General features: G+C 40.1%; 1 protein-coding gene across 4 annotated transcripts in view, besides 3 other annotated features; it reads left to right on the top strand.

The window, feature by feature from the left end:
* BMPER (BMP binding endothelial regulator) overlaps positions 1-19,892 on the top strand; it is a 251,513-nt gene that overhangs the window by 152,771 nt on the left and 78,850 nt on the right. For all 4 annotated transcript variants that reach the window (NM_133468.5, NM_001365308.1, NM_001410872.1 and 1 more), the window contains 2 exons: positions 374-478; positions 4,317-4,362. In NM_133468.5, coding sequence (NP_597725.1) covers positions 374-478; positions 4,317-4,362 — 151 coding nt within the window. The remainder of the gene's footprint in view (positions 1-373; positions 479-4,316; positions 4,363-19,892) is intronic.
* Positions 665-2,714: an enhancer, noted in NCBI's record as "VISTA enhancer hs1336". NCBI's record gives its function as "enhancer in: neural tube[4/6] | forebrain[6/6]" and the evidence as "EXISTENCE:transgenic organism evidence [ECO:0001131][PMID:17130149]".
* Positions 1,373-2,281: an enhancer, noted in NCBI's record as "OCT4-NANOG hESC enhancer chr7:34098670-34099578 (GRCh37/hg19 assembly coordinates)". NCBI's record gives its function as "activates a minimal SCP1, AML or CMV promoter by ChIP-STARR-seq in primed H9 embryonic stem cells {active_cell/tissue: H9 hESC(primed)}" and the evidence as "EXISTENCE:reporter gene assay evidence [ECO:0000049][PMID:30033119]".
* Positions 18,293-18,794: an enhancer, noted in NCBI's record as "NANOG hESC enhancer chr7:34115590-34116091 (GRCh37/hg19 assembly coordinates)". NCBI's record gives its function as "activates a minimal SCP1, AML or CMV promoter by ChIP-STARR-seq in naive H9 embryonic stem cells {active_cell/tissue: H9 hESC(naive)}" and the evidence as "EXISTENCE:reporter gene assay evidence [ECO:0000049][PMID:30033119]".

Genomic DNA, 19,892 nt, shown 5'->3' on the forward strand with positions numbered 1-19,892 from the left:
AAATTAGATTTCTGTCATTGTATCATGTATGAAAATTCATGCTTGGTTTTCCCCCAGGGTGGAACTAAGTAAACAATGCATGACAACAAGACATAAATATGACTTGGTTAAACACACAATAATTATTTTTATATCCAGGAGGGGGAACACACACACACACACACACACACACATGCTTGCACACAATCTGAAATCTTCACTAATCTTTATCTTAAATCAGTTGGATGTAGACAGACACCTGAGTCATTTAGTCTAATGATGGCGTCCCTCACTCAGGGCAAGAAATGCTTTCCTCCATGGAGAGGTTACAGTCTGTTGCCTCAACTCCTGTCAGCCTCCAGCTGCTGACAGGATCCTGTGCCCTCTCTTGTAGGATGGAGAGATGTGGTCCTCTATCAATTGTACCATCTGTGCTTGTGTGAAAGGCAGGACGGAGTGTCGCAATAAGCAGTGCATTCCCATCAGTAGCTGCCCACAGGTATGTTTGGAACACAGATTGACTTTACCTTAGCGTCTTGAGAAATGTCCTGTGTGTGGCACAGTCGCATGCCATCTTCCGAACACAGACTCCAGCTCCCCCAAAGCCTCTACATTCCTGACTAGTCAAATGCCTCTTGCAAAGTTTGCTCATTCTTCTTGCAGATTTTTTCCTTGCATGAAAATAGCTCTGCTTTGCTCTTGTCCCAATTCTGATTTCTTATTGACATCTCCCATTCATTCTGTAAAATTTCTCCAACTCCTGCAAGATCTCTTTCTTTGTTTTCTTTTGCCAGGTTTTGTTTAACATCGTAACTGTCTTTTGCCTTTTCCTCTTTTCTCTCCCTTCTCAAATCAGAGCTTTCCTCTTATAGCCATTCAAAGTAATATGTGGTTTATTTATTAATACTTCCCCAAGGGGTTTCTCCTGCCTCACGGCATCCCCGATTTCTTTGCTGAAGTTTTCTCTCTCTAATCCTGGCCTCCATTGTAGCCCCAAATGGAAATAGCATCCTTATGGAAATATCTCTTTTCAAAAACTCATAGCTCCAGCACACTGAATAAAGCAACCATTATCTTCTAAAGCATGAGGTTCATTGAATTCACCTCAGCAACTTGAAACCTTTTAAAGTTTTATACATTTTGGGAAGGTGTCAAACCTATTCAACACCTTCCCGTGAATGAAAAAATATATCCATATATTCAGGACATGTCCTCCCTTCTCTGTTATAGACAGCTTTTAATTTTATTCACATCTGTTATTATTATAAACAAAAGTTGCTGTTTTTACTTGACTGCCAAATGAGGCACAAAAAACAACAGCTGTTGCTATTGCACAACTGAATAAAGAGGAGAGGAAAAAAAGAAAAAAAAAAACCCTAATTAGTCTTGCTTTAAAAAGCCTCAGACATAAAACTGAAAGCCTCCCATAAAAGAAAAAAAAAGAAGATACAATAAGTAGACTTGAACATGGTCTGCTTATAAATATTCATTGGGAAAAATGGGATCACATCATTATGCCAGTCCTCCGGGAACCCTCGCTGCTAATGAACTCTTGCAGCACATGTTAGTAATAATGGGCTTCCTTATTCTACAAGACAAAAACAGGATGCTGTGCCAACCTGGTGGCTCAAGTAACTAGCCTCAGCAGGCCGCCGTGGAGTTTCCAGCTTCACTTGAATTCTGCCACTTGTAGCTGGATTGATAGTTTTCATTGTGCTCTTGCTGGGGGAGGGGATGGTGGGGGGAGGTCAACGTTCTTTATGTCACTGGTGTCTCATTAGCCTTTCATCATTGTGGACCACATTTGGGCCAGGGGCATCCATTCCTCCAAGCAGAGGCCTTTCCCTGCCCCACCCACCCCCTCCACGCCTTGTCAAAGCTTGTTGGTGCCCCTGCCAAGGCCCCGGCCTCAGGGGCCACCTTTCTGTTTCTAGGCTTCCTTCCAACCACTCCTCCAGTTCACACTTTCCCTTCTCGGGGGCCAGCAGGAGGTCTTTGGAAGATAACTCAGCTCTATCTACCATGGAAATCTTGTTAAAAACTTACTTCCCCTCCCCTACATTGCCTGGGGAAATTTTGGAAAAAAAAAAAAAAAAGAGATAGAGAGGAGGAGCTTGTATTCCCTGCTCTGTCTTTCCTGGCTACTGCATATTCTCTTTTTCCAGATGTAAATGTTTCTTGTGGAAGAAGGGTTTTATGATTGGATTCCTTGTCAATCCTGCCTCTCCTCCCCCATCCTGCAACTCCCCCAGAGGCAAAGGAGTGCCATTTGTGAGAAGGGCTATGAGGGCTGAAGTGGGGACTGGGTCATCAGGACACTGTCATCTCTCCATCTCTAATACGTACTGAGATTTTATAGTGACAACACTAATCTCATTTAATGCTAACATCACCCCTCTGAGGTGGGTGGTATTTCTAGACCCTGCTTATGGAAGAGCCTGCAGCATGACCAGAGTCTTACGGCTAATTGCATATTACACAGGTGCTCTGACTTTACAGCTTGTACCTGATTTATTCCCCCATCTAATTTAGTGATATCATCACTGCCACTTTCATTTTCTGAAGACGAGAGATGGAAGTTTCCACCGAGATGTGGATGTAGGGAATCGTAGTCACATTTGTTTGGAGTCTTGGCTTTAAGGTGGCTCTGCTGCATTGGGATAAAGCACCTTAATCCTCTTGGGGCCGTCATTCCCTGGGCCTGAGCTGACCTCATTTGGCTTCATCTGCAACTGCTTTCAGTCTTGAGAAACCAAAAGAGACCCCTGTGCCAAATTGCAATTGACAGCAGAGCTCTAGGCAATGAAAATATGTTGTGATGCCCCCACACTATGGGATGACTGGCTGGGGCTGAGTTTTAAGTCTCACTCAAAGTTGTCAAAGCCTTTAATGTATCATTTAGGCCTAGCTGATGCAAAAACAAATCAGACCTGATTAAAGATCTTCAATAATTAACCAGAATCCTTTAAGTCAATCTGATTCTTTCTTTTTGAGTACTTAAGCCTACTCTTGATGGAAATGACCAGTAGTGAGTGAGTGAATGAGCAGTGTGTGAGCCATGTGGCTTTGACATGAGCCTTGGCAACCTCTCCATGGTCTCTGTTTCCTTAGTTCCCTGTAAACAGGGGATAAGGACAACTGCATGTGGAGGGTTATTGTGAAATTTAAATGATAAAGTATGAGGAATGCATAGCACTCAGTCTAGTGTATAGCAGATAATAAATATTAAATTATATTCAAGAGAAAGGACTCAAGAGGACAAAACTGCAGTGGGAAGAAAATGTCCTTTAGGGTCAGACAAAATTAGGTTTGATTTTTGGTTCTACTACTCTTGTGTTGCATGACCTCAATTTCTTCACCTATAAAAAGGGAAATACTCAGCTCATAAGGTTCTTGTGCATCTTAATAACAGTGATTATAAAATCTCTAATGTTCATTAAATCTTAATAGGTCATAAGTATTAAATCCTTATCACTAACCCAATGTTATCACATAAGTAAAATATCGAATAAGATATTTGTTATATAGCAAGTGCTCCCTAAATGTTAAACTTCTTCTACATTTCTTTTTCTCTTTGATTAACCACTGAGTCAGAGATAAGACAACTGATTTTCTGATATGAGTCCTGAGAATACGTCACCTCCTTTAAATGTCATGCATTAAAAAACTCAAAAGTTGTGCAATGTAGGAAATTGCAGTGTATTTCCAGAAAGGTAATGAAGCATTACTCAGTGTTTCAAAATTCTCAGCTTCCTTGGCTTTGAGTGCATAACAGTGATTCAACATGGATAACATACCATTTTCTGAAACAAGAAATCTGACTGAATTTGATCTGTAGCACAGATATTGCCCATATCCATAGTGCTGATGATTCCTGAGCTTGGATTACAGTTTATTGTTTAAGCTTCTCCAACAAGCAAAGACAGAAAGAAGGTCTTGTAGGGTTCGCTAGGTTGACAGATAATTCTCATTTTTATGTGTGTGCCCTTGGTCTCTAAAGGGCTAGATTTGGGTATCAATGAAAAGGTTGAGTCCAGACTGTCTTCATCTTCCTTCCATGTGAGAAAAATCACACTAGTGAGCCCTTTAGGTATTATATTTCTTGGAGGATAAAAACAGGAAAGCTTGCTGAATGACTTTGCCTGGCCTTAGAACCTGATACTTGAAACTTCATTTTCACCATCTTCATCACCATCTGGGCATTGAGTTCAAATACAGCTTGGACTGATTTCATTGGTTTATCTTGTATTAGATTTTAAAAAGATATTTGTCCTCAGGAGACCCTGTTTTTTTTTTTTTTTAAACAGTAACTTTGTATTTGTTTTTCTTCTGATTAGGGCAAAATTCTCAACAGAAAAGGATGCTGTCCTATTTGCACTGAAAGTAAGTTTATTCCTTTGAAAATGTGCTATTAGTATTTGTTTTGCATTTTATAGTGCAACAAGAAAAATAGGGGTGTATGTTTCCCACACATTTTATTTTTGTAGGTATATATAGGATGGGATCATCTCACCTCCCTACAGTCACTTTAAGTCAATTGTAATTCTCCCACAGAAGTACAATGGAGACAAATATAGATACTTCCATCAGAATTTGTTGCTATGAGAAATTAAGAAGATAAATGGTTTGATTAGGTTTTAAAAAGGACCAGATAACTTAATGTGCATTTTAACTGCTAATAGCATTTGTAGTCATCGCGGTTAAGATAATGCTATCCGTAAAACCAAACATTATACAAAGTCTAGGAGGGGCTTTCCTTCTCCCATTATAAAGCCAAACAGCTGCACTTCCTGCTCCCTCACCCCACCCCCACCTCATCACCATGTCACCTGGGTGCATCCAGTCTTGCTGTTGGCAAAGAGAAAACAAGAAGTCATCGGGCTGATGGTTTTGCCATCCTATTATAGTCATGGGTCACTTAACAGGATGTGAAATGCCTTCTGAGAAATGCATCCTTAGGTGATTTTGTTGTTGTGTGAATATCATAGAGTGCACTTACACAAACCTAGATGGTATAACCTACTGCACACCTAGCCTATATGGTATAGCCTGTGGCTTCTAGGCTACAAATTTGTACAGCGTGTCGCTGTACTGAATACTGTAGGCAATTGTAATACATGGTATTTGTGTATCTAAGTAGAAAAGGTATAGTAAAAATGCAGTATTATATTCCTATGGGACCACAGTCCTATATGTGGTCCATCATTGACCAAAATGTTGTTGTGTGATTCATGACTATTTTTAACTGTATTCTTGAAAGTTCCTTCTAAGCATGGCCTATTCTGAAAACTGTCTGAGACTGTACTACTGATCATACAGACAGAGCATAGCAATAGCTTCATATCATTCCCACATGTAGACACATGCCTAGATCTATTAGCAAACTGCCATTTTAGTCCTCCTGAAATTCATATGGTTTTGAGATAGCTTCCTGGAGTGTTTTATTGAAAGAGGAGTATTAGTAATGTCACTGTCAAATTAGTTCCCATGTATGATAAGTAGGATTAACAAAGTCATAAAGTCTATCAGTGTGTTTTCTGAGCCAGTTATGTTTAGAGAAGTGGTCTGGAAGACAGCTGAAAGCAGCTTTCACATGGGCACAGGTTTGTTCTTTCCAATTCTCTAAAATAGAGTTGATATTACTAGAATTACTAGACTCTGTTATTTTTTTAATTGATTAGTGCCTTTGGACAATAGATATGCAGGGTCACTATATGTGTGTGTGTGTGTGTGTGTGTGTGTATTTATATAAAACTATTAAATATAATATTTATCTACTATATATGTTGCTATTTTTAGAAGCAGAGAGCTATTAAACAGTTACATATTGGAAAAAATGCTGGTTGAATTAATGAAAATTTAATTATAGATTTAATAAAAAAGGTTTACTTTAAAGATAATGAAGTACATAAAATAACTCAAAGGAGGCCAATGAAGTACGACTTAGTAGAGAATAATGCAGGAAGACAAATTAGCTATGATTAACACACCAGTTGATTTAAAAACACGTGTACAATCTAATACATTTAATCATCCTTCCAGAAACCCTGAGGAAACTTTGTTTATGGATGGTTCAGAGGCTGCCTTCCAGTTAATTCCCTTCTGGATGAGCAGAATAGAGTCTACACTGATGAAGTTTTCCTCTGTATCCATGTCAATGGAGATGTTTGCATTTCCTCATAAAGTGTCTTCCAGTTGAAGCAGAGACAGACCTCATAGGAATGCCTCTTATTTTCCAGTTAACTCTTTCAATTTGCATGAGCACAGACTCATTACCTCTGCCAATCACATTGTTGTCAGGCAGGATCACTGCTTACCAGCTTCATAAAAACATATGACCAGCCAGGCGCAGTGCCTTATGCCTGTAATCCCATGCCTGTAATCGGGAGGCCGAGGAGGGCAGATCACTTGAGGGCAGGAGTTTGAGACCAGCCTGACCAACAAGGTAAAACCCCATTTCTACTAAAAATACAAAAATTAGCTGGGCGTGGTGGTGTGTGCCTGAAATCCCAGCTACTTGGGAGGCTGAGGCACAAGAATAGCTTGAACTTGGGAGGCAGAGGTTGCAGTGAACCAAGATCATGCCACTGCACTCCAGCTTAGACAACAGAGCAAGACTCTGTCAAAAAAAAAAAAAATTACCAATCTTGTAAGAAGCAGTCTAAATCTTGAATTATCTGACTTTATTTTGCAAGGATCAAATAGGTGATTATTGAGATAGTTGAGAAAAATCTACATTATATTATCAGTTTATTCATTATGAGCTGGACTTTCCATATCTAGAAAACTGGTGACATCGTAAAGAAAAAGAAAAGAATACAAATGGAAGGAAAGGTATTATAAAATAGAAGCAAGCTTTAAACTGGTTATATTAAGTACCATATTGTGTTAACCATGTGAATGAGCTCATGCCTTCTATCACTGAGAGAGGCAATTGGCAAGGGAGAAGGCCACCCAGCTGGAGGGGCACTGGGAGGACAGTGACTCTGCACCTGCGCGGAGCAGGTCAGTCAGTGCTGGAAGGGCCCAGGCATGTGGTTCTCTGTCCAAGTCTCAATTATATCATCAGATGGCTATTTCTCAATTTCCTTTGGTGTTCTTTCCATCTGTTTACTCTCTCCTGCTCTCCAGCAGTTCTTCCATCATTGCTGTAAAATGCATTCTATTTGGCGAGGCTTATTTGTTCAGATTGAGTTAAGAGATGGGATGACTTCCAATTTTTAAGCAATGCCCAGTTTTTCTTAACACATTCAGGTAGATTTATTCTGATGTCCTTTAGCTGTGGCTTCGAGACCTCCTACTTTGAAATTTCTTTGTCATTATATTCAGGATTCAGAACAAACCTTTGGGCACATTTTTTCCTCCTTTGTAAATTATGAAAGCTCTCTTAATATACAGATTTCTAGAGTAGAGAAAGCAAGGATGAAACTACAAAAAAGTCTAGTGTTTTCTAAAGCCAGAAAAACAACTAATTTATATCTTATTAAAACACATACACTCTCTCCCTCTCTCTCGGACACACACACACATACACACTCACTCTCTCTCTCTCTCTCTCTCTCTCTCTCTCTCTCTCTCTCTCTCCCTCTCTCTCTCTCTCCCCATGATGTTACTGCGGAGTTTTCAACCTCAGTCTTACTGAGAGTTTGGCCAGATCATCCTGTCGTGGGGCTGTCCTGTGCATTGCAAGATCTTTAACAGCATCCCTGGCCTCTAACCACTAAATGCCAGTAGCATCCCCTGCAAGGTTGTGACAATCAAAAATATCTCCAGATACTGCCAAATGTCCCCTGGGGAGCACAGTTACCCCTCATTGGGTGCCACAGGCATTCCAAATAGAGGAAACAGCATGGGTGAATGCAGACATGAGCACCTGTGATACTAGTAGCCATAACTGACCCTTGGCACCTGTGGATTAGATGCAGTAGGAGAGTAAAGTGAGACTGGAAGCCTCTGAGTTTAATTGAATATGTTTCTGTATTTTAATTCTCTAACCCTGCAAAAAATTATGAAGGCGTAATTATATCTTGAATGATTAAAAAAAGTTGCTATCTTTGCTTTTGTTGCTAGGAAGCTAAAAATAAATTTGTACTCCACCTCTAAAAGCATGCAGGTTTTGAGTAATAAGCTTACTCCTGACTTCATCATATATGTCCACTCTTACGTGTTTTCAGCTATTTACTTTTTATGTCTGTAAGCTACTTCCAGCCCTTCTCTGAAAGGAGGCAAGAATACCTCCATGCACACATACATGCATACGTCAATTAAATGGATTGATTACAGAGCTTCACATACTCTCCAATTTATTTTGGTTACCTGTGGTAGTTAAATAAGTGTTGCATTATTTCCAGCAGTAGTGGCATTACATTGTCTGTTTCTAAAATCCCACAGAATTTCTCCCTTATTGCCTGGGTTAGTCTTAATCTTGGTAGTGTTTGGGGGCTGTCTCAGATCTCTGAAAGGAGTAACGAAGAGGAAACTTGAAGTGCATCTATAGAACATTCTTATGGGCCTCTCCTTACAACAGTCAGCAGTAATGGTAATTTACAATTTTGTAGGTAAGAAATAATAGAGGAGGCACAATGCCGTTGTCCTCCCCACAGTAAGACAGTTTTTGTAGGGTTGGCCTGAAGGAGCAATGATGATTCTCTCAAAATAGGAGAACAAAAGTCCTCTTAAAATCAGACCTGAGGGAAGTATGAAAAGCATTGCTGTCTTTTCATAACATGGAACAGGCTCTCTTTCTCCCTTTCCAACTGAAAAGAATTAGATTTGATTTTGATGATTTATTTAAAACAAAATATTTGAAGTGGGCTACACAAACTTCATAAAGCTTTCTTGCAAATGCTGTTTCTTGCCAAAGTGTGAGACTCTAGCCTTAAGCCAATCTGGACTTGCCTCGGCTGGGCACACATGAGCACAGGGTAGGTGCCAGGGAGGCCACTTGCCTGTTTTGTGTGTAGCATTTTGTTTATGCAAAATGTTGTTTTACTGTGTGTTGGCAAATAGCAGGTGGAATCTTGACCTAACCACCCAACAGAGACCTGAATCAGATAAATTCTTTGCTGGCAGGATATCTGTTTTCTAACATGGAAATAATACATAGGGTCAAAGTTGTCACTAATAAGAAAGGTGCATGTGAGATGTGTATAGAGAAAGAAAGGGAGAGAGGGATGGAGGGAGGGGCAGAGAGAGAGAGAGACTGAGATTGACAGATTGAGTATATGAGAAAATTAATCTCTCAGCCATCCACAAAAGCAGAGACAAAGGCAGCCCAGACGTGCATGCCCAGTCCCTGGTGGTTCATTAAGCTGTACCTGTAGCTACATCAGACCTAACCATCAGAATCCCAGCTTAAAACACAAGTTCACGATTACATAACACTGAGGCTGATTGAATATGCCGAGCACAGATGTGCATTTAATTGAAATAACCTCAACTACATGTCCCAGAAGTAACAGGAAATATCAAATTTCAGCAGCTCATGGTGAGAGGAGGCTCACAGTTGCCAGGTGACTTTTTAAACCCCCCAGGGTTGGTTTCCAGCTGTGTGCAGGCTGCATTGGTGTGCCTGCTCTCCTAGGAGCCCTGCCTGCTGCCTACACCCACCACAGCCACTCGTTTTGGCACATCTGATGTAAGCCCTCTGGGATGCGTACAGGTAGCTCCAATTAACAGAATGGCTGTAGGAGGGGGAGACTATAATAACAATTTCATTTATTTCCCTAGAAAAAAAACCATAATGAAACAGCAACCTAGGGGCCCATTTTATGAGAAATCTCCACTGACAGAGGTTCTGCAAATTAGTGATTCTGTGTTTGAGCAAGGTTTCTGGCCTCCAGGGCTGTAAGCAACTCCAGGTCCCTTAACACCGAGAGTCTGTCCTTAACTCAGGAAAGCAAGGAAATTCGAAACCAGAGCTCAAGATGCTTGTAGAATAAGAATTTGTGGTGTTGACTTTAGCCCTGCCAAGGAGGTGTTAACCTAAGTGGCCACTGAAGTTTCTGCTCCAGCATCTGGAGTCGGGCTTGACACTGTTCCTCAGGCCCAAACAGCAGACAGGGGTGGCAAATAAAACCCACTGTACCACACATGGTGGCTGGGAGATCCCACACCGGTAGAAGCCACGCTGGAAGGAGCATGAGGAAATCAGTCTGTCTTCTGTTTTATATGCTGTTCTGCTCTAAGGGATACTGTTACTTTAATTTTTCTTGCTGTAAATTAGTACAGAGTTGAAGGAGACTGAAGTTATTAGGAATCACCTTTTCTCTACCACCTATTGTCAATTCCCACAGGGTGTTAGTACTCAGTAAGTCCTTGATAAGTGATTATTTGATGAATTAACAATCACCACCATCATCATCCACAGATAACAATAATAGCAATAATAACAACAGTAGTACCCACCAGCAGCAGCAGCAGCTAATATTTATTTGGCATCTGCCGTCTCTAAACACTATCTTGGGCAGTCTCATTTGGTTTCATTTGATTATCACAGCCGTCTTGTGGTCAAATAGTGCTGTTAGCTCCATTTTACAGTTGAGGGAACTGAGGCTTAGAGGTTAAGAAGGACGCTCAAGATAGTTGTGGAGCCTGAATTCCAACCAGGTAGCTGGCCCGAAAGCTTGGTCTGGAATTACTTCCCTTAGCTTCCTTGTCATTTTGTACAGTTTGATAACCAGTTGAAGTTAAGAAGGGGAAGAGAAGGTCTGGAGGGCTTTACAACTTGTAAGCATTGGAGACTGGCGAAGGACCTTAAGAGGAATTTCCAATTAACAGTGTTGTCCCTCCAACCACACCTGGTTGGAAATGGAGACTCAAGTCCCCAGGCTTTCTTCTACTGTGGCATCTCCGTCTTTCTGCTCAAGTACAGAGAAGTGGTGGTTGGTATGCTCTGAGCTCACTGACAAACTGGCTTGGTTTTCCATTTTGTTTGTTTTCCATGTCTACTAGTTTTTCCAGTTTTTTTTTCTCGTGGTAATTCAAGTTACTGGGGTCAAGTGAAGATCTCCCCAAATTTTCTTTTTAAGTACACATAGTTTTGAACTTGAAATAACTCTGTATATAATTTCCACCAGGAATGGGTAAGAGCAGAGTTGCCCTGCCTTTGGAGCTCATCACCATTTTAGCATCAGGAAATTTGTAAGTGAAGGGACCTTAATATGAGGTTAGACCTCTCACTTCACAGGTGAGGAAACTGAGACTCACAGCAGTACTAACTGAATGAGCTGGGATGAGGACTTGCATATTTTTAAAAATCTCCTAATCCAGTATTCATTCTACAGGCCTCCCTGGATTTTTGCTTGGGAAAGCTATTTTTAATATAGGTGTAGCATTATGACATAGTTCAATTAAAAGCTAGTTTCTTGCTTAATTTCAAAAGAATGCATTTTATATAGAAAAAGATATGCGAATTCATTATTAGACATCTGGTACAATGTAGCCAAGGCTGCCATGTTGAATCTCAGGAAAATTGCAAGTATCCAGTTTTGACTGAGGGTATGTGTGACGGAAACTCCTTGGTAATGATACACCTAAAATACAGCTAAACGACAAAACAAATGAACAATAGAAACCCCAAGCTGTGAAACTTAAAAAATACACTTGGTGGGAAGTACTGTATAACTAATTATACATTACTATATGCAGAGCTGAGGCAGATTTATTCCTCTTTGGAGGTCACATCTCCTATGAGCAAAATAAAAGCAACAAAAATTGCTACTTCTGCTGCCTCTGCAATTGCTCCTATAACTAACAGCGACTTATTGAACATTAGTCCATATCAGTCAGGTATTGTGATAAATGCTCTCCATTTTGCCATTTAATCCTTACCATGTTCCTATGAATTAGAAGCTGTCATTAGCCTGAGGGTGAAAGAAATTAAATAGTTTGTGGTCAGCTAATACACTGGCCTACGAGACTCCAAAGCCCAAACTTTTATGCACTATTCTCTGTTCTCTATTGACTACATTTGTATTCATTTTGGAGGTTCACTTCCAAACAGATATGAGGTTTGCCAGTTACTTTCTTTTATACATGACTAGTGGCTTCTACTTACAAGCAGTTGTATTTACTTACTTTTTAAAAATGTACCTACATTTATGAGGTCACTTTAACCTCTTCAGTCTCTTAGGTTACAATACTTCAGTTGTAACCTTTGCTGGGAGTATGGAGAGATGACTCATTAGCTGTGCTTTGCATGGCCCTTTGATGTGAAATTCATATTCATGAATGCTGTCATTCTTTCTTCTTATCTCTGTTCCCTTCCGCGTTAGTACTCTCTGCCCTCATTCATTGCTACACCCCTCTTCTCTGACTTTCCATATCCTTCTTTAGTGCAAGTATCTGTTGTTTTACTTTTTGCTTTTTCATCTTGTAAACCCACAGCTCCACTTTCATGGTGCCCTTTCTGTACTTTCTCACTCTGGTTTCAGATTTGTTTAAGCTTTGAGGTCCTTAACATATCACTTCTTAACAAGATGCTAATGTAGTAGATCTCAGCTTCTTGGAGAACATGTTCTTTCAAAGTATTGCATTTGAATTTTGTTAATAGTTTCTACCTTTGATTCCCCCAATTATTTGAGCTGGGAGTTGGATGGAGGGGCTAATGGCTGTTTCCAATCCCTGTTTGTTGACTGAATTCTGGCACCCCCATATCCCAGCTGCACAAGATTTGAGCCTTAATGTTATTTCTCATACTTTTGGCATTTCTCCCCCATGTTGCTAATCAATCATCAGGTTTGCTTGATTGTCTTTTTGTGATGTTTTTCAAATAAATACTTTCCTTGCCATTCCCATGGCAGCCGGACACTCATCCTATTGCTTGCATGTAATCTCCATCTCTCTTCTCCTTCACCCCTTTTTGCACACCCCTGTCAGAACCCAAACTTAGCTTTCACAGAAACCTACACCAGCTTCCTTCCCTTGCGGTTTCCCAGAGTTTGTTTTATAAAACACTAGTGCTGAGGGATAATGATGAGTAATATTTTCAAAACAAGGTTCTGTGATTAAATACACTCAGGAAATGCTGGGTCAAGTAAACTTAAATGTGTTTTCTTACTGCAGAATTCTCAGAGCCCTTAATATGCTGACGTGCATGGTGAAAGAGGTTGGAGTATAGAGTGCCTCCCAAACTAATTTGAGCGGCAGAGCTTTTTTTTTTTTTTTTTTTTAATTTCTACTTATTTTGGCAGAGCAACAGGCAGGATTGATGTTTCACAGGAAACACATCAAGAAATGCTGGTTGTTTGGAATACATTTAAACTTCTCAGGCTGGCAGTAAATCTCAGGCCAATTTATTTAGACAACTTGGGTGTCTTGTATCTCCCGAAGCAGCTCTGCACTCTGGTGCGATTGGCCTCCTGCTCTTCTTGTATAAGCTGCCCTCTTATCTATGTCCATGACTTTATTTACATTCTTCTTTTGGCCTAGAAGGCTTACTTCATTCTAGCCCCAAATCTGTATTTTATGTCTTTTATAGACTACCTCAATTTACATTGTCTTTTCAACAAATCTATACTTTCTAAGTTCATTACAGTCTTACTCAACCCCATTTTAGCCAGCACTAGATAACTATTTGCTAGACTTGCATAACATTTATAATAAGCAAATGAATAATGACTACTCTGAGTATCTCTTATGTTCTAGGCAGCTTTGCAATGCTATCTTTATAATCACCCGGCAAGGTAATTGTTCTTAGAGTCATGTTATAGGCAAACAAATTGAGGTTATGTAGGTAGTTTGTGCATGATTTTATAAGCCTTAAGTGGCAAAATCAGGATTCAAACACAAGACTCTTCAAAGCAATAATATGCTCAATGACTGCCAAGCTCCAAGGAGGCTTTAAAGCTGGAAGCCAGGTTAACTTGGAGTTGTGAAACCCATCTCTTTAGCTTAGATATACAGTTCTCTCAATTGATAAATAAAAACTTCTGGTTTAAGTAGGGAAGAAGATGTTTTAAGGTCGGTTCTTGGATAGTGAGAGTGGCAAAAATGCATCTTCTGTATGAACTGCATATTAACATTCAGTGAGCTTTTAGCATTCTGGAAGGTGCTCTGGAGGACATGAATGAAAAGTTGATACAGACCCTGAGCTCAGAAACATTTAATGTAGTTGGGGAGATGAAATAGAAACACATTAAATAAGAGAATCATATATTATTGTTTATAATTAGCTTATAGATAGGTGTTCCCAGACTCCTAGGACAGCATTGATCAGTCTTTTGACAGGGTCTCTATGAACCTCTGCATTTGAGAGGATTTGAGTGTCTACACATTTCTTCAGATTATCAAAGAGCTCTGTGACCCCAGCTAGTTAACAAGTTTGCAGGATGCTGTGGGGAAAGGAATGGCCTTGAAGCCACAGTGTCTTGGGTTGGATTCCGTCTTACAACTATTGGCCGAGTAACCATGGGCAACAAGGCAACTTCTTCAAACTCATTGCTAAAAAATTAGGGTATGAATATACAATGTGCACAGACATAGTGAGGATGAAAGGGGATAGTGAGGATGAAAGGGGATACTGAAAATACAGAAAGCATCTGGCGTGGTACTTGGCATACACTAGTTATTTTATACTAGCCACGCTGGATTGCTAAGTGTACTAGTTACCTATGGCTGCAGATGACAAATTACCACTCACTGGCTTAACACAGCACGAATGCATTGTTTTATAGTTCTGGAGGTCAGAAGTCTGAAAAGGGTCTCAGTGGGCTAAAATCGAGGTGTCAGCAGGGCTGTGTTTCTTCTGAATGCCCTAGGGAAGAGAATCGATTTTTTTTTTTTTCCTTTTCCAGCTTCTGAAGGTAGCCCACATTCCTTGGCTCCTGACCCCTTCCTCCAGCTTCAAACTTGCAAACAGCAGGTTGAGTCCCTTTCACACTGTAAGGCCCATGCACCTGCCTTCCTCTTTTGCTAAGGGCCCTTGTGAATACATTCACCTCTTTCAGAAGTGCCCATCTTGAGACCAGCTGATTAGCAACCTTAATTCCATTTGCAAACTTAATTCCCTCTTGCCATGTAAATAACATAGTTACAGGTTCTGGGCATTAGGAGGTGGACATGTTTGGGGGTCCATTATTCTGCCGACCACTCTTGGTCATATTAGGCATTAGAGGTAAGTTCTTTTCCCATGTTGTTCTGATTCTGATTTAGCTTTTTGATTTTAACAATAATTTTTAGTAGGGTAGGTTATCCCTATTCAAATGGAGAAATTGGACTCCCATGAATTTGGATTTCTCAGCTAGCTTTCTTGGCACCAGACATAGTTCCCCCATAATGTTCCTGACTTTTCAGAATTTTTTTTCCTAATAGTCTCTTTATTCTGAGAGCATTCATTAATTATTCAGTTAATCGATTAGGCGATTTTGGTTACCTGCTGTATGTGTCATTACACTGAACTATTTTAGTAAGTTCAGTGTGGGCAATTTTTTTTTCACCAAAATATGTTCTCAAATTAATTAACTAACTCATTCATTCAACAGACATTTATTGGTACATAATATGTGTTACAGCAGTAATACTTTTTGAGTAATTAAAAAAAGAATCCATGTATTACATATATACCGTTATATGTTGCTTAATGGTAGGAATATGTTCTGAGAAGTGCATCATTAGGCAATTTTGCCATTATTCGAACATCATAGAGTGCACTTATACACAAACCTAGGCTAAATGGCACACCCTATTGCTACTAGGCTACAAACCTGTACAGTACAAATACTGTAGGCAATGATAATACAATGGCAAGTATTTTTGTATCTAAATACATCTAAACATAGAAAAGCTACAGTAAAAATACAGTATTATAATCTTATGGGACCACTGTCACTCATGTGGTTTGTTGTTGATGGAAACATCATTATGAGGCATGTGTCTACCTGTAGACCCTTCTGTATACATGGCAGTGTGCCAGGCACTGAGGGGTACACATAAAACTTACAAGGAGTTTAAGGTCTGGCTTAGAAGTTAAGAATATGCTAAAACTATAAGCTAAGGAAGAAAATAATATATCATAAGCAGGCTATGAGTTTGGTACACCATATTTTTGACCCCTAAAAGGAAAAACATAGTGTGACTACAAGATAGAGTATTTGAAATTAAGACTGTCCCAGAACATCTGGGCTATGTGGTCAGTTTTGCTTTTGAAATTTAGAGGAAATAGACGACTTTGGCTGAGGCAGCAGGGGTGTTGCTGTGGGAAGCTGGCATTGGGCCGGGAGCTGAAGGATGCATGTGCTGTGAACTGTGAGGGAGTGCTGGGCAGGCATGGGCCATTGCAGGGCCCAGGTGAGGGGGGCCAGCACTGGGCTCCATGGCAGAGGCCTGGATGGTAGCACTGGCTGTGGGTTTGGATGTGTTTTAGATGAGATCTTGTAGTTAGGGACTGCTTACTTTGTTTGCTGTTTTGTTTCAAGTTGGTGAGCTCATGGAATTATGGAAAATATGTGAAAGCAAATTCATAACATTTAACAATGTACCTACACAATATTTCTTGAAATCAGTTTTTTATATACAGATTGGTTACTATTTCTGGTGGATTACAGGTTGGTGGAAAGTGACCTACTCCTCTCTTTTCCACCCCCACCCCCATACATGTTAGATTGTTTCCCATTTAAGAGGCCAAGGAAGGCACCCAGGTGCCACGTGGTGGATCATGTGCTGACCCTTAGGTCCCTTTTGGGCCAATAGCTGTCAGTGACATTCTGTGCAAGATGGGGGGCTCCTGAATGGAGAAGTTCGGGTCGTTCTGGGTTGCACCACAGCCTCTTTCTATCAGAGGCCTCCATCACTGTTCAGGCAGGGCCTAGACAAACAGCCTTTCCTGATTCTTCACTCAAGCTTGGCATCATCACGACGCTTACCTTTCTGGGATTCCTGGAGCCCCTGCATGACACAGTGATCTCGTGGGGCCTGTTTCCCTGCAGTTTGGACTGAAAAGGTTTAAAGCCGTGTTTTTTTATGTGTTGGGCTTCCTCATGGTTAGAGCATTATTTCTGGAAATGCAGTGATCCGTGTAGTAGCAAAGTATGATGAGCTGGAGAGACCTTTCTCTTTGCTGAAGTAATGGACTAAGGATAGAAGTTCCATTCTGTGCTTTCAAAGTGAAAAAACATTTTAAAGACGGGAGAAACCTTACGACATGTTAAGTAAAAAATAGAAAATCAAATTTCATGTACAGAATTATCGTAACTATGTTCAAATAAATACATGCACAAAATTATAAACAGTGGCTGTTTCTTATTGGCAGAAACATGAATGATGCTTTTTCCCCCTTCCTTATGCTTTTATGTTTTTGTTTTGTTGTGTTTGGGGGGAGTAGGATTAGAGTTTACTCAGTTTCTCTTATTTTTTTTTTAGAACATGTGATTGTATAATTTTCCCTTAATTTTCTTTGACAGATGTTTTGAAAATAATCACTGCTCTCAGAAGAAAGGCATTTCATTAGAATAAATATATCCATGACATAAATAAATGTACCTGATGTGGTTAGGAGAAAAGTATTGGCACTATAATTTCAGAGGCAGTGTCACTCTTATTTCTCATAGCAATCTTATTAAGGTATGGAACATCAAAGTGGTATGTCTTTAATCCAGTATTTTTTAAACTTTTAAAGCAAATATTCTTTTTCCAAAAGTATACATAGTCATTGTAAACAATGAAATGTAAGTGTAAATAATAGTGCAAATACACATAAACAAGAAAGAGGAAAAGAAATGTAACACATAATTCTATTACCTTAGAGAAAAAACACTCACTCCTATTGTCTGGTTTTGTACACTTCTGATCTTTTTTACCCCCCTTTACCTGTGCATTTGTATCCATATGTTGAAAACAACTCAAAACAAAGATGAGATCTAATGATTTGACCTACAGGACTATGCAAAAATGTGCCACCAGTCATAAGCTGGCATCTTTCTCCCCATCTTCTGACTTACGCATATTCAAACAAGGTTAGTTTCAGGATGGTCTATTTCTGTAGCCTCCCTCCCTCTGCCTATCACGCCAGGCTTTCCAGAAGAGTGTGACTGGACATCTGGACGTGTTGGACTGAAGCTCATTTCACTGGGTCCACTGGAAAAAATTATATGAGGATGCTGTGTTCTTTTCTGTCCCCTAAGTGTTCTCGAGCCTTTTCCTTTTGCAGCCAGGCAGATTCTTGTAACACTGAGAATTCTCACTTGCAGACACTCTCTAGTGCACAAGTTCACTGCGCCTGCAGGATCTGGCATAGGGACCTTGAGGTGCCAGGAAAAAGGGCCAAGGTTTCAAAATTATTTTAGTTCATGATACAAATGTCCCCAAATGCAACACATAATTTTCAGGCATCTTCACAGTCATGATATTTTGTTGGCCTCTTCAATATTGCTGTCAAACAGAAAAATCATCCCGATTTCCAAACCCTTCTCTTCCATAAGTTAGGGCCTCTTGAAAAATATCTTTCCTGACAGCCCTGTTCACACATGATTTCCCTTGCCCAGAGTCTCCCTGGACATTCTCCATTGCTTCCCGCCCAGCTATGAGCAAGCTCAGGCTTCCCCAGAGTCACTTGAGGCAGTAGATCTTCTGCTGCTTCTATGACGACTTGCTTTGTCATGTAATTGGCCTTATCTACAAGTGCCCACAGTTTGACTCTAAAAAACAAAACAAAAAATAACAACGAATAAAAAACAGAAAAGCATAAGAAAGAAAGTAATGTCACTTATGGCTCTTCCATCAAGGAATAACCACTGTTTTCAATTTTGGGGTGTGTATGTTTTGGCGGGGGTTGTGCATATTAATTTTAACATAGTTAAAATTATCCTGTACATATAATTTTGTCCTTGATTTTTCACTTAACATGTCATAAGCATTTCCTCAGTCATGAAGATTATTCACAAACTTTTTCAGTGACTAGATCATAGTTCATTTTATGGATTGTATTACAAAGTGCTCAGCTGTTTGTTTAATATTGGGAGACAATCTGAATACCAATTTTCTGATGATGCATCCATGATCAGCAGGCATGTAGAAGAGCGTTAGGGTATGTGATGAGTTTTCTGCAACTGTTAGCTATTAGTGCTTTAATTAATGATAATTTTAATGTAATTGGTGTCCCTGGTACAAGGAGAAGATTGCCACAGGAGAGTGTGGGCAGCAGGTTGTGGGCATTCCCTGTGCCTGCTCCCCACTGAGAGAGGACTTCCTCAGGAGTATAATTTCAAAACCTTAGGAGGTACCTTGGCCTTTCCAAGCTGAGGTCCATCTGTAGCATGCTCAAAAGCTCAAAAACGTTGGTTGGTCTGGGAAGTCTTGCTGAGAAGGTGGAGTTAAGGACCTGGAAAAGTCCTTCTCTTCAACTGGGTGCATCTGGTCATCAGGTTACTATGTAGTCCTTTTGTGGCACATGTTGGTATTACTTCCGAACTGTCATTCTCCTGATGCCACTTGGGGTCCCAAAGAACTGCCTTGTTCTCCCTCAACCAAAAAGCAACATTTTCATGGCCAGGGAGAGATTCCATTTCATGGCCAGGGAGAGAGAATGTTGGGGGAAATGTGGGATAGGATGATTTTGGAAGTAATCACATGGAGAAAGGACTGATAAATGCACTCTGAAGAGGTTAGATAGCTGGGAACTAGTTGAGAAGATATGGAGTTAGGAAGGTGGGAAAAGGGTGAAATGTGAAGCAACACACCGTGTAAAATTGGAGTCAGAAGGAAAAGCGACCAAGAAAGGAATAAGAAAGGAACAGAAAGGGAGGGTGAATTTGAGTATTACTGCTGAGCTTTCAAAATGTGTCTCTCCCACCTACTTCTTCCACCCTCCACCCTGAGGAGTGCCTTTTATATATTCTTTCAAGTATTTGTTCATTGAAATTCTCATAAATGCCAAAACTTTTTCTTTTATACTCTCTATTAAATATTGACAAGGAAAA

The sequence above is a fragment of the Homo sapiens genome, chromosome 7 (genome assembly GCF_000001405.40).
Source record: "Homo sapiens chromosome 7, GRCh38.p14 Primary Assembly".
In the NCBI taxonomy this organism is placed as follows: Eukaryota; Metazoa; Chordata; class Mammalia; order Primates; family Hominidae; genus Homo; species Homo sapiens.